The sequence below is a fragment of the Homo sapiens genome, chromosome 9 (genome assembly GCF_000001405.40).
Source record: "Homo sapiens chromosome 9, GRCh38.p14 Primary Assembly".
Classification (NCBI taxonomy): domain Eukaryota; kingdom Metazoa; phylum Chordata; class Mammalia; order Primates; family Hominidae; genus Homo; species Homo sapiens.
The window spans coordinates 69,011,272-69,025,479 of record NC_000009.12 but is presented as its reverse complement, the minus strand read 5'-3'; the positions used below and the strand labels follow the sequence as shown (position 1 = coordinate 69,025,479).

Below are 14,208 nucleotides of genomic sequence, written 5' to 3'. Positions count from 1 at the left end.
TCTTATGGTGGCACATCACTCACCATTTAACAAATATTAATGAAGCCCTACTGTGTGTCAGGCACTGTTCTAGGTGCCGATTATACAGCAGTGAACAAGACAGGCAAACATCCCTTGCTTCTTATGTTCTATTGTAGGGACACTGATGATAACAAAATAAGGTAAACAATGTGTTAGAAGCCGGGTGCCTCACACCTGCAATCTCAGCACTTTGGGAGGCTGAGGCAGAAGGATCACTTGAGCTCAGGAGTTCAAGACCAGCCTGGGCAACATATATCTCTATAAAAAATAAAAAATTAGCCAGGCTTAGTGGCATGTGCCTGTAGTCCCAGCTACTCAGGAGGCTGAGGTGGGAGGATCACTTGAGCCTGGGAGGTCAAGGCTATGATGAACTGTGATGGTGCCACTGCTACTCCAGCCTGGACAACAGAGTGAGGCCGTGTCTCAAAAAACAATGTGTTAGCTGGTCATCAGCGGTATGGAGAAAAAACAAGGAAGAGGGAGAAGAGGTGTAGTAGCCAGCTTCCAAAAGGTCCCTCACCTCTTGGGATTCCATCCCTTGTGTAGTCCCTCCCACAGTGTACCAGGGTTGGTCTGTGTGACCAGTAGTAGATGACCCAGCTGATAGTCTCTCCTGTCTAAGATCAGGTTATAGATGACTGCGGCTCTCTCTCTCTCTCTCTCAGATCACTTGCTATGTGGGAGCTGGTTGCCATGCTGTCAGAATCTATGGAGAGGCCCCTGGTGAGGACCTCCAGTACACAGCCCAAAGCCAGCAAGGACGTGAGGCTTGCCAGCAACCACATGAGTGAGCTGGAAGTGGGTCCTCTTGCCTCAGATGACTGCAGCTCTGACTGACAGCTGACTACAACCTCACGAGGAACCCTGAGCGAGAACCTTGGAGAAAGCCTTTTTCTCATGCCCTAGAGTTGAGAATGTAGATTGAATGTGCTCTGCTATGATTGCTGTTGTTAGGCACTGTGGGAAGTGCTTTATATACACTCTTGTTTAACTCTAATAGCCTTACTGAGGGTACTATTATTATCTCCATTTTATACACCAAGGCTCAGAGGCTAATTCACCTTTCCAAATCCTCCAGCTAATAAGTGTCCAAGCTGGGACTCAAACTTGGGCCTTTTAACTGTGCTGCTATTCTACCTCTCCCTTGCTCTTTCCAGACCAGGCTTGGGACATAACACTAACACCCTTTTCCTTTCATTTCATCTCTTGTCCTTCAGTCATTCCTAAACATTGACATTCATTGAGTTCCTTGGCTCTGGCCACAGTCCTTTCTCCCTTTCCCCTCTGGGGCATCAAATAGTGATTACAGTATCCACAGGGATGGCATATGCCATTTCACCATTTCACAGTTCCTGGAATCCACTTTTCACTTCTCATAAAGCTTCAGCAAGCCATTCTCATCTTGGGTTGCTTGTTTGCCTATTTGCTGTTACATCCATTCTCTTCTCCTCATCTGTTTCTTTCAAGGAAACCTGATCCATGCAAATTACGTTTCCTAAACTGCTTTGCCAATTTGTTTCAAGAGAGGTTCAGCCAACGAGAGGCGCCTGTGGGAGACTGGCAGGTGGGTGGCAGAGAGGAGGCAGGTATTTCTGCCCTCCTTTTCTCCTCCCGCCATTCCCTTCAGGCACCATTTCCAGCAGTGATTGGGTTTCCTCCATGGCTCCGCCTCTTGCTGGACAGACCACTGTGGTTTCAGTCTCAGCTCCGGGGCTGTGTTAACACCTTTTTCCTTCTGTTCCTCTATGCGTAGTTATGGTAAATGCAACTTTTCTGCATTTCTTAATTTTGAGTTTGTCTAATTCTCCCTGGTAGCTCTTTCAGTCCTTCCATCACCTTTGCAACAAATTCCCTGCATTAGATTATCTCTGTGAATTGCCGGACCTAGGTTTTGTTTGTGAGGCTGGACCCCAGCTGATATTCGTATCTGTACTTTGGACTTTATTGCCATTTTAAATTGTTCTTTCTCAGATATCTTCAACTATAGGATCCTGCTTTCTGATTACAATCTCCAGTTCCTTAACCTCAGGTCCTTTCTTCCATTTATCATGTTTGCTCTGTTCACCCACTCTGTTCTTCCACCCACTTACTCATCAACCTGTCAAGGAAAAAAGCCAAACTCTATAAAATATTTAAAGAGTTTTATTCTGAGGCAAATATGAGTGAACATGGCCCGAAGGCACAGTCTCAAAAGGTCCTGAGAATATGTGCCCAAGATGGTTGGGTTACAGCTTGTTTTTTTTTTTTTGAGACAGAGTCTCGCTCTGTTGCCCAGGCTGGAGTGCAGTGGCGCCATCTCGGCTCACTGGCTCACTGCAAGCTCTGCCTCCCGGGTTCACGCCATTCTCCTGCCTCAGCCTCCTAAGTAGCTGGGAGTGGACCGCCACCACGCCTGGCTAAGTTTTTTTTGTTTTGTTTTGTTTTTGTATTTTTCGTAGAAACGGGGTTTCACCGTGTTAGCCAGGATGGTCTCGATCTCCTGAACCTGTGATCCACCCACCTCAGCCTCCCAAAGTGCTGGGATTACAGGCGTGAGCCACTACGCCTGGCCACAGCTTGGTTTTATATGTTTTAGGGAGACATTAAGACATCAATCAATACATGTATACATGTGAGGTGTACATTGGTTTGGTCCAGAAAGGTGTGACAACTTGAAGGGCAGAGTGCTTGCAGGTCATAGGTGGATTCAACAATTTCCTGATTGGCAATTGGTTGAGAGTTAAGTTATTATCTGAAGACCTGGAAGCAATAGAAAGGAGTGTCTGGGTTAAGATAAGGGGTTGTGGAGACCAAGGTTCTTATTGTATAGATCAAGTCTCATAGGTAGCTTAGAGATTATAGATGCAAATATTTCCTATGCAGACCTTTAAAAGGTAGGTATTAGACTCTCAGTTAATCTCTTCAGGGATTTGGAGGGCCTGGAAAAGGAAAGATCCACTTATGTTAAAAGAGATTTTTGGGCCGGGCACAGTGGCTCATGCCTGTAATCCCAGCACTTTGGGAGGCCGAGGAAGGTGGATCACAAGGTCAGGAGATCAAGACCATCCTGGCTAACAGGGTGAAAACCCGCCTCTACTAAAAATACAAAAAAGAAAAAAAAATTAGCCGGGCGTGGTGGCATGCACCTGTAGTCCCACCTACTCGGGAGGCTGAGGCAGGAGAAGCGCTTGAACCTGGGAGGCAGAGGTTGCAGTGAGCCGAGATTGCGCCACTGCACTCCAACCTGGGCGACAAAGTGAGACTCTGTCTCAAAAAAAAAAAAAAAAGATTTTTTTACAGATGTAAATTCTCCCCCACAAAAGAAAGCTTTGCAGGGCCATTTCAAAATATAGCAAGGAAACATATTCTGGAACTAACTTTGGGAGGAACTTAGTTTATAGTTTAACTTTGAAACAAGGACGATAACAGCCCTTTCCCAAAACAAACCCCCTTCCTGCCTGGGGACTAGACTGCCTTTACAGAACCAACACATTAGCCACAAGATTAGAAATTATGGTTTAGGAGTCATGCAACTGAAGGCGGCCAGATTCTGAACCTCCCCAAATTGCTCCTGGGGATAACATCACTATTGTAAAATCTAAGATCAGGGCTTGAGATATTTTGCAGACCCTGCACTCAGTGGATCAGCTGGCACCACCCAGACCAATCAACTGGCTCATCTGATCTTGTGTACCCCCCAGCAGGAACTGACTCCGCACAAGAGGACACCTTTGATTCCCTGATTTCATCTCTGACCTGACCAATCAGCACTCCCGACTCACTGGCCTGTGCCCACCAAATTATCCTTAAATACTCTGATCCCCGATTCTTAGGGAGACTGATTTGAGTACTAATAAAACTCTAGTCTCCCATACATCTGGCTCTGTGTGAATTACTCTTTCTCTATTGCGATTCCCCTGTCTTGATAAATCGGCTCTGTCTAGGCATTGGGCAAGGTGATCCCATTGGGCGGTTACAAACTACAAAAGGGAGAGGGTATAATGAGGCATGTCTGACCCCTACCCCTTCCTGGAGTGGCCTGAACTAGTTTTGCAGGTTTCTTTGGACTCCCCTTGGCTAAGAGGGGGGTCCATTTAGTCAGTTGGGGGGCTTTGAATTTTAGTTTTGGTTTACAAACCCATCCATCATTGTTTTTGTTGTTGTTGTTGTTGTTGTGAGACGGAGTCTTGCTCTGTTTCCAGGCTGGAGTGCAGTGGCGCGATCTTGGCTCACTGCAACCTCCACCTCCTGGATTCAAGCAATTCTCCTGCCTTAGCCTCCGCAGTAGCTGGGACTACAGACGTGCACCACCACGCCCGGCTAATTTTTGTATTTTTAGTAGAGATGGGGTTTCACCATGTTGGCCAGGATGGTCTCGATCTCTTGACCTCATGATCTGCCCGCCTCAGCCTCCCAAAGTGCTGGAATTACAGGCATGAGCCACCACCGCGCCCGGCATCCATCCATCATTGTTTGTTGAGCGTCCACAGTTCCAGGCACTGTGGTTGCTGATGATATAGTGGTAACAAAGATTGATAATCAACATGTTCTCATGGAGCTCACAGTCTTGCGGAGAGAGATGATAACGTAAAAGTATTTACAAAGTCACATAAGTGCTAGATGGGGTAATTATAGGATACTACAGGAGCATATGAGAGTGGCCTGGTCTTGACTTGGTGGGGGTGGTGACAGCATGAGTTTCTGAGATCAGAGAGATGAAGAGTTGGCCAGGTGAAAGAGGGCAAGGAGGAAAGAGCATAGCAGAGGGGACAGTATGTACAGACCCAGAGGCCAGATGTCCTCATCTAGTACAGTGTTGGAGAGGCTGAAAAAGGGAGATTCTCAAACAGACTCAAGCTTGGATGCATTGGGCCCTAGCTCCTGGGGTTCTGCAGTTCTGAAAGGTCTGCAGTTTACCCCTAGGGTTGCAATCTTCTTATTCTTTTTTAACTCCAGGTTAGGCACTTCCATCCCTCACAGTTCAGGTTCAGCTCCAGCCCTCTTTGTCCCTTATAATGCATACAAACTCTTCAAATCTCCTGCATTTCCTGAATTATGGAACTGGTCACTGGATACCCCCTTTTCCTTGCTGTATTTGTATAGCTTTCTTTTGTCTTCAAGAGCTCTCTAATTATTAAGATAATTGAATTGGGACCTCTCACTTCTCAGCTCTTTGTTCTATAGGCTATAAAGCATTTTGGGGCTCCTTCTGGGAAAACATTAATCGATTTAAATCAAGGGCATGCACCCAAATGCTGCAGGGGCCAGGCAGGTGCCAGAAATGAGTGCCCTATGGAACACTTAGCCTTCCTGGGCTGCCTTTTTCTTTCTTGCTCTGCTGGAGACATGGCATAAGCACTATTTTACTTTTAACGCTAATGTAAAAAAAAAAAAAAAAACCCACAGAGCCAACAGGATGATAAGCAGCAACTGTCATTAGCTCTGTGCAGTGGTGATAGTTGGGTGGGGCAGGAAGGGCTGTGAAGTGCAGAGAAAATGCTTACATAGGTGCAGTAGCAACTCAGCATAGCTGAATGGTGTCCTGTGGAAACGTAGGCCTACTGTGCACAAATATTACAACAGGAGACTGAAATCTGGATGATCTGGGGTATATGAAACTGACGACTCTTTACATTGAGAAAACAATTATTAAAATTTGAAATACTCTGTTAGGCCTATAACTATATTGGGTTAAACAAAATGTGTTCATGGGCTCATCCAATGGTTCTAAAACTCGGCTGTGCATTAGAATCACCTGGGGAGCTTTTAAAAGTCCCAACGTTCAAGTCACATGCCTGGGCAGTTAAGTCAATCTCTGGAGGCAGATTCAGTCATCAGTATTTTTTTTTTTTTTTTTTTTTTTTTTTTTAGACAGAGTCTTGCTCTGTCACCCAGGCTGGAGTGCAGTGGCGCAATTTTGGCTCACTGCAACCTCCGGCTCCCGGGTTCAAGTGATTCTCCTGCCTCAGTCTCCTAAGTAGCTGGGATTACAGGTGCCTGCCGCCACACCCGGCTAACTTTTGTATTTTTAGTAGAGACGGGGTTTCACCATTTTGGCCAGGCTGGTCTCGAACTCCTGACCTCAAGTGAGCTCCCTGCCTCGGCCTCCCAAAGTGTTGGGAATACAGGCGTGAGCCACCATGCCCAACCCAGTATTCTTTTTTTTTTAATGTCTCAGGTGATTTCAATGTGCAGTTAAAATTAAGAACCACTGCTTTTGATGTGCATCGGTTTGTGAGCTCTGATTATAGGGCATATTTTGGCAGAAGGATGTTGTGAATGTTCTGCTCCACCTAGGGCCTTCTGTTAATTGGCAGGTGTGCTGTATCACACATGTTAAGTGCTGCAGATGAGATTTCAGAGGAAATCATCAAGCGCTCTCCTGTTCTGTTTCTCTTGAGGGCCTCAACTCTTCATCATGAAATGTAGGCTGTTACAGTGATAGCAGAAGAGGTCACCAAGAAACTCATATGCCATTATACTTTACATGAGTGCCGAAGCTCCTGTCGCAGTCCATATTATCTGTATCTAACATCTTGTCCTGGGTACAGTTTCCCATTCAGCCACTCGGCTGTACTGTCTGTATGTTGCATGATAATTACTAGGCATTATACATGTGCAGTCACATTGCAACCATGTGACAATGCCCACTTCTTGTGTAGGTGTGCACAAGAAATTCTCTTCAAGGTCTCAGAAGGACTGAGTACGGCAGGCCTCACAAGACACAGCCATGGTGGGCAAATAGCAGTGCCTGACATTCCTACCCCCATCCTCAGATAGTGGAGTTTCCCACAATCCCCCTCCTTGACTCTGTTCTCTCTCGGCTCACGTTCCTTGGCTAACACTCTCATACCACTTAAATCTGTGCTGCCAGTGCTTATCTGTCTACTAAGTTCAATCCCAGATTTCCATTGGCTAATTAGACATCTCTACCTGAATGTCTTAAGGACCTATGAACTCAATGTGTTCAATCCTGAATTCATTATTGTCTTCAATAAATTTGTTTCTTTCTTTCTCTTCCCCACCCCCGCCTTGTCCCATTTGCTTTGCTTAAAAAAAAAGCTTTGCTTCCTTTATGTGGAAAGACACATAAAGGAAGAACTGAAAAACCAGGGCTCAGGACAGAAGGCAAGGAACTTATTGGCCAACAGCTGTAGAAACATGGACAGCCTTCTAAGATGCTGTATTTGGATGGCTCCTTTACAAATGCCTCAAATCCCCCTGTGTCTCTGCTCAAGATTCAATTCCTGAGAGACATAAACTGATCGATCTATCTTGGGTCCTGTGGCCATCCCTGACTTTGACTCAGGTGAGTGGGTTAGATTGGGAACCCAACAGAATCAGATGAAATGAGGTAGAAGTAATCCCTCAAAGATAAAACAGAGTGCTATTGCCAGGAAACGAAGGAGAACTACAAAATATGGGGAAAATAATTTTATAAAAATTGTCTCCCTTTTGTGGATTTAAACAGTATATAAAAGTGACATATAAAATATAAGTAAATGCATTTGTGAGAAACCAATGTTTTACCTCATTTTTATTTTAATAAGTAAAGTAATTCATGCTCAAAATTAATTTTAGCAATTCAGAAGCTTATAAAGTGAGAAGTAAAAATTTTCCTTCCTTTAATTTATGCTTCTCTAAGTTCCTAGTGCTATTCCCTAGGGGTAATCACTTTTGGCAGTTCTTATATGTCAGAAGATATATTTTTAGGTAAGCAAGTTGGGCCTATTTCTAGGACTACTTTCTTTTCAGGTCCCAAAAACATTACAATGCTCATTATCATGTGTGTCAAGCCACTTCTATAAATATTATGGTGGCCGGGCACGGTGGCTCACGCCTGTAATCCTAGCACTTTGGGAGGCCGAGGCAGGCAGATCACCTGAGGCCGCGAGTTCGAGACCAGCCTGGCCAACATGGAGAAACCCCGTCTCTACTAAAAATACAAAATTAGCTGGGCATGGTGGCACATGCCTGTAATCCCAGCTACTCGGGAGGCTGAGGCAGGAGAATTGCTTGAACCCGGGAGGTGGAGGTTGCGGTGAGCCGAGATCGTGCCATTGCATTCTAGCCCGGGCAACAAGAGCAAAACTCGGTCTCAAAAAAAAAGAAAAAAAAAATTGTGGCAAAATTAGTGGTACCAAGGGATGAATGATTGCCCAAACTTTAAATAAATGTAGTACTTTATAAATTATTGTCATTAAGTTATTTCTGAACTTCCTGACTCCCATAATTTTTCATCTTTCATATAACAAAGGCCACGCCAATTTTTAAATCAGCATTTTATAGATCATAAATCTGACATAGAAACTTTGTGTTCAAAAATGTTCTTTTACAATATTCTGCTAATAAGGAGAAAACAAACTATTAATAGAAGCTGGCTTGTCAAAATCCAGGTATGATAAGTATTTCTGGACCAGAACATGCAGTGTTATGTAAATAATTCCCTGAGTGATAGAGATTTGTAGTTTATTTCTTATTTGAATCCTGGTGGAGTTTGTTCTTTTCTTTGCTCCCATCAATATTTTGGAGATAGAGAGGAAGTTAGAATTGAATGATCCAAGCCTTATGCAATTAGCCATTTGGAAACTGCTATATAAACAGTAAAGAGGAGAATCAGCTGGCATGACTGCCAGTGAGCAGTTTTTTGGGAGAAGAATGGTCTTGATTGCCTTTCATTGGGCATACAGGAAAGCAGAGTTGGCTTTCACCTCTTCATTTGGCCCCCTAGGCAAGCTCCAAGCAGATCATGCAGAGGTATTGTATCTTGCTACACAAATCTTTTCCTTCTGAAAGGGTTTATCTGAATGCAAAAGGATTCCTGTTTCCTTGGCATGCTAAGGACTCCCTTGCTCCCCAAGGCCATGGAGAAAAGCAGAACGGAAAGTGGAGAGAAATAACAAATGTAATTATTCTGCAGCTTGTTCTGGGATAAATACTTGATGTTCTGACCTGTAAACGAAGCATGGGGACATTTCTAGTGTGCAGCATATGTTCCCTCTAGACCCCTGTGTCTTCCTAATTGAACTTCAGAGATTAATGCCACAAGAATTTGTCATGGAATGGCACAGCCTGCTTCTAAACAAACTGTCCCACTTCCAAGGCGTCGGTCCAAGAGAATGGCTTCCCACTAATTGCTCTTTGTGTATAAATTTCTACTGAATAATCTGGAGGTAAGTCAGAAATGGGCAGAATTTTAGCAGATCTACTGTGATGAAAATGAAGAGGAAATCACTGAGATTATGGGGGAGACGTGGAATTTCCATCTGCCAGGGATTTGCCTTGACCCAAAGCACAAGGGGCAATTGACCCCCCTGCTATGTTCTTGAGGGAATGTGGGTTTCCCTTTTGTGGAAGTTCAGATGATCAACAGTAGATTTTTCTCCTTTCCTCTTCTTCCTCTCTAACCTGACCGTCTCTGAATATACAGTCAGTACCCAAGTACTGGCCCCAGATTAAACCGTAAACTCGGAACCAGGCCTTGCACACAATAGACACCTGCTTGACCAACATCTGCTGAACTGAGCGGCAAGAATTCACAGTCACAATAGAAACCTTCTACTTGGAGTCAAGTAATCAGGGATTCCTCTCCAATTTGCTTGGTTTCAGCCTGCAGGGCTAGGTGAAAGTGTGTTGTTTACTTGCACTAGCTACAGGCGGTGTAGCCAGGGTGGGTAGGCAGAATTAGCTGTCAAACTTAAAGGGCAAGATGGAGAGAAAATAGGAGGATAAATGGGTATTCCTGTAGCTCAGTGTTTATGATGTAGGACAGAATCTTTGTACAGAATTGACTGGGGAGAGCAGCTCAGAACCCACCCTGTGATGGCTGAGTGCTGGCAGTCTTCTGGAGGGTGTGTGGGGCGGCTGACATGGTGGCCTGGGGGAGTGATGGAAGGCCCATCATCTATGTACTTTGACTTCTCATAAACTCCTGTGGCATGTTTTTAATAATTGATAGAATAAGTAAACAGAAAGTCAATAAGAATATAGAAGACCTGAACACTACTACTAGCCAACTTGACCTAAGTGACATTTGTAGAACACTGTATCCTCAAACAGCAGAATACACCAGAATATACATTCTTCTCAAGTGCATATGGGCCATCTACCAAGATAGATCATATTCTGGGCCATAAAATGAGCCCCAAGAAGTGTAAAACATTTTAGGTCACACAGAGTATGTTTTCTAACAATGGAATTAAATCAGAAATCAATAGGAAAATTCTTGAAAAATCCCCAAGTATTTGGAAACGAAATAATATACTTTTAAATAGCTTATCTGTCAAAGAAGATGAAAAGGGAGCTTAGAAAATATTTTGAGCTGGATGAAAAGGAAAATACAACATACCAAAATTTGTGGGATGCTGCAAAAAATAATACTTAGGAGGAAATTTATAGCACTAAGTGATTGTAATAGAAGAAAGATTTCAAATCAGTGACCTTAGTTCCCACCTTAGGAAATAAGAGCAATTAAACCCAAAGCAAACAGAAGAAAGGAAATCATATGTATGTGTTAAAATAAAACATTACATGCAGTAAAACTGAATTTTGGGGGGAAGTATACAGTTCTTTGAGGTGTTTGTTTGTTTGTTTGTTTGTTTTTGAGATGGAGTTTCACTCTTATTGCCCAGGCTGGTGTGCAGTGGCACGATCTCTGCTCACTGCAACCTCTGCCTCCCAGGTTCAAGCAATTCTCCTGCCTCAGCCTCCCGAGTAGCTGGGATTACAGGCATGCGCCACCACGCCTGGCTAATTTTTTTGTATTTTTAGTAGAGACGGGGTTTCACTATGGTGGTCAGGCTGGTTTCGAACTCCTGACCTTGTGATCCGCCCGCCTCGGCCTCCCAAAGTGTTGGGATTACAGGCTTTAGCCACTGCGCCCGGCCAGTTCTATGAGTTTTAAAACAAATGTAGACCACCACCCAATACATTGTAACCACCAGCACAATCAGGATACAAACATGTCCCACCACTTCCCACATTCCCTCAGGCTGTCCCTTCATAGTCCAACCGTCCCCTAACCCCAAGCCCTGGCAATCACTGATCTGTTCTCTCACACTATAGTTTTGCCTTTTCTGGAATGTCATAGAAATGGATTCATACAGTAAGTCTCCTTTAGAGTTGGCTTCTCTCACTTGCATAATGCCTTTTGGATTTATCCATATTGTTGAGTGCAGCGGCGTGATCTTGGCTCACTGAAGCCTTGACCTCCCAGGCTCAAGAAATCCTCCCATCTCAGCCTCCCATGTAGCTGGGAATATAAGCGGAGGCCGGGCGGGGGTCGCAGCGCCGCAGCCAGCGCAGCCAGCCCCAGGGGGCGCCATCTCCGCCGCTGCCGCCGCCGCCGCCGCCGCCGCGAGACCCCCGCCCCTGCCGCCGCCACCGCCATGGGCAACGCCCCCGCCAAGAAGGACACCGAGCAGGAGGAGAGCGTGAACGAGTTCCTAGCCAAAGCCAGAGGAGATTTCCTCTACAGATGGGGAAACCCCGCTCAAAACACCGCCAGCTCGGATCAGTTCGAACGGCTCAGGACGCTGGGCATGGGCTCCTTCGGGCGGGTGATGCTGGTGAGGCACCAGGAGACCGGCGGCCACTACGCCATGAAGATCCTCAACAAGCAGAAGGTGGTGAAGATGAAGCAGGTCGAGCACATACTGAACGAGAAGCGCATCCTGCAGGCGATCGACTTTCCGTTCCTCGTCAAGCTCCAGTTCTCCTTTAAGGACAACTCCTACCTGTACCTGGTGATGGAGTACGTGCCGGGTGGGGAGATGTTCTCCCGCCTACAGCGCGTCGGAAGGTTTAGCGAGCCCCATGCCTGTTTCTATGCCGCCCAGGTCGTCCTGGCCGTCCAGTACCTACACTCGCTCGACCTCATCCACCGCGACCTGAAGCCCGAGAATCTCCTCATCGACCAGCAGGGCTACCTGCAGGTGACGGACTTCGGTTTCGCCAAGCGCGTGAAGGGCCGCACTTGGACCTTGTGCGGGACCCCAGAGTACCTGGCCCCCGAGATCATCCTGAGCAAAGGCTACAACAAGGCCGTGGACTGGTGGGCCCTAGGGGTGCTCATCTATGAGATGGCCGTGGGCTTCCCACCCTTCTACGCCGACCAGCCCATCCAGATCTACGAGAAGATCGTCTCTGGGAGGGTGCGGTTTCCCTCCAAACTCAGCTCTGACCTCAAGCATCTGCTGCGGAGCCTGCTGCAGGTGGACCTCACCAAGCGCTTCGGAAACCTCAGGAACGGGGTTGGCGACATCAAGAACCACAAGTGGTTCGCCACAACCAGCTGGATCGCCATCTATGAGAAGAAGGTGGAAGCTCCCTTCATCCCGAAGTACACAGGCCCTGGGGATGCCAGTAACTTTGACGACTACGAGGAGGAAGAGCTCCGGATCTCCATCAATGAGAAGTGTGCCAAGGAGTTTTCTGAGTTTTAGGGGTGTGCTTGTGCCCCTGTGGGTTTTCTTTCCTTTTTGTTTTTGGTGGTTTGGGGGATGGGAGGGTTGGATTGAACAGCCAGAGGGCCCCAGAGTTCCTTGTATCTAATTTCATCCTCACCCCACCCTCCAGGGTTGGGGGAGCAGGAAGCCCAGATATTTGGAGGAACAGAAACACCAGCTGCTCCCTCACCCCCCCCCATGCCTTCCTGGTCCCTCTGTGCTTCTCTCTTTCTCCTCCCACAGGGTCCCCCTTGCCCCAGCCCCCTTCTGCCTGTTTTAAACGAGTTTCTCAGCTCTATTCAGGCCAGGTCTTGCTGTTGTATCAAGGGACACGGTGTGGAAAGAGGGGCTCAAACTTAACTCCAGCCCTGAACAGGCACCACTTACTAAGAGAGGATGAATGAAAAGCACACCTACCCTTTGGCGTAATCCTGCCTGGGAAGGAGAGAGGTTTAGTGCCATGTTCAGTGGGCTGTTTGCTAGAATAAAAAATTAAAACAAAAAACAATTAAAATCTTATTTAAGTTCCACCAGTGTCCCCTTTCCTCCTTCCTCTACTTCCACCCCTCCCACCCTTCCCACCTTACCGTGTCTCCCCATTCCATTTTAACAAATCCAGGAAGCCGACTGACTTTGGAAGGAGGCTCTGGGGTTTGAACTTCCCCCATGAACTGCTGATTTCCCCCTCCCCCCTCCCCAGGGGCATCCTCTATCACTCTTGCAAAGGTCTCAGTTCTTTTAGGAAGCTCCACTCTCTTCTTCCCCAGCAGACTTTTCTTCACCCTTGGGCTTTGGGAGCCAGAAAAGCAGCTGCCCTACTCCCTGCCAAAGAGGAGTTGTCCCCCAAAAAGACAGAGTGGGAGTTCCAAGCCCAAGTCTTTCTTCACAGCAGCATTTCCCCGAAACTCCTTAATTTTATTCTCAGCCAGATTGTGATGCCCAGCCTCTCCTTATGGGAAGGCAGTCCTGCAAAAGGACATGGAAGAGGCCCAGCCCCTCCACCCCCACCTCATCGCCCAGGGTTCAAGGCTAGGGTTGCTGGGGAGGGGCTGCCTGTTTTATTCACCCAGCAGCTTCTGCCTTCTCCCATCCTGGGTGCCCCTCTCCAGCTTAGCTGTCAGCCATCCTTCACCTCTTCTCCCCTGCCACCCCGTGCTGTTTTCAATTTTTTTTTTTTTTTGACATGAAGTCTCACTCTGTCACCCAGGCTGGAGTGCAGTGGTACAATCTCAGCTCACTGCAACCTCCGCCTCCCGGGTTCAAGCGACTCTCCTGCCTCAGCCTCCCGAGTAGCTGGGATTACAGGGGCCCACTACCATCCCCGGCTAATTATTGTATTTTTAGTAGAGACGAGGTTTTGCCACATTGGCCAGGCTGGCCTTGAACTCCTGACCTCAGGTGATCCAGCTGCCTTGGCCTCCCAAAGTGCTGGGATTATAGGAGTGAGCCACCGTCCCTGGTCTGTTTTCTTTCTTAATAGAAAAGTGAGGAGCTGCTGGCAAGCCACCTCATTCATCTTCATATTTCCCCCTCTCATCACTTCTCCCCATCCCAGGAGGAGCTCTCAGGCCTGGGGTGGGTCCCCAGGTGGGCTCAGGGTGATTCAACCTGCTTGCTGTGAAAAGATGAGATTTCCTCTTGAACAGTGTGCTGTTGTAAACATATGTCAAAACTATTACCAATAAGGCCGGGTGCTGTAATCCCAGCACTTTGGGAGGCCAAGGCAAGTGGATCACTTGATGTCAGGAGTTTGAGAACAGCC

At 46.7% G+C, this 14,208-nt stretch overlaps 1 protein-coding gene across 1 annotated transcript, besides 1 other annotated feature; it reads left to right on the top strand.

The window, feature by feature from the left end:
- Window positions 4,409–4,914: a transcriptional cis regulatory region, noted in NCBI's record as "candidate enhancer chr9.764 targeted for multiplex CRISPR interference". NCBI's record gives its function as "positively regulates FXN gene expression with high confidence in K562 cells {active_cell/tissue: K562}" and the evidence as "EXISTENCE:mutant phenotype evidence [ECO:0000015][PMID:30612741]".
- On the top strand, window positions 11,367–12,976 carry PRKACG (protein kinase cAMP-activated catalytic subunit gamma). Its single transcript, NM_002732.4, has one exon. It carries the CDS (start codon window positions 11,388–11,390, stop codon window positions 12,441–12,443), a length of 1,056 nt encoding a protein of 351 aa, NP_002723.2. The 5' UTR covers window positions 11,367–11,387; the 3' UTR covers window positions 12,444–12,976.

What these genes read in the sequence shown, in the direction of transcription:
- PRKACG (NM_002732.4), top strand. Translation starts at nt 11,388, where the DNA reads ATGGGCAACGCCCCCGCCAAGAAGGACACCGAGCAGGAGGAGAGCGTG.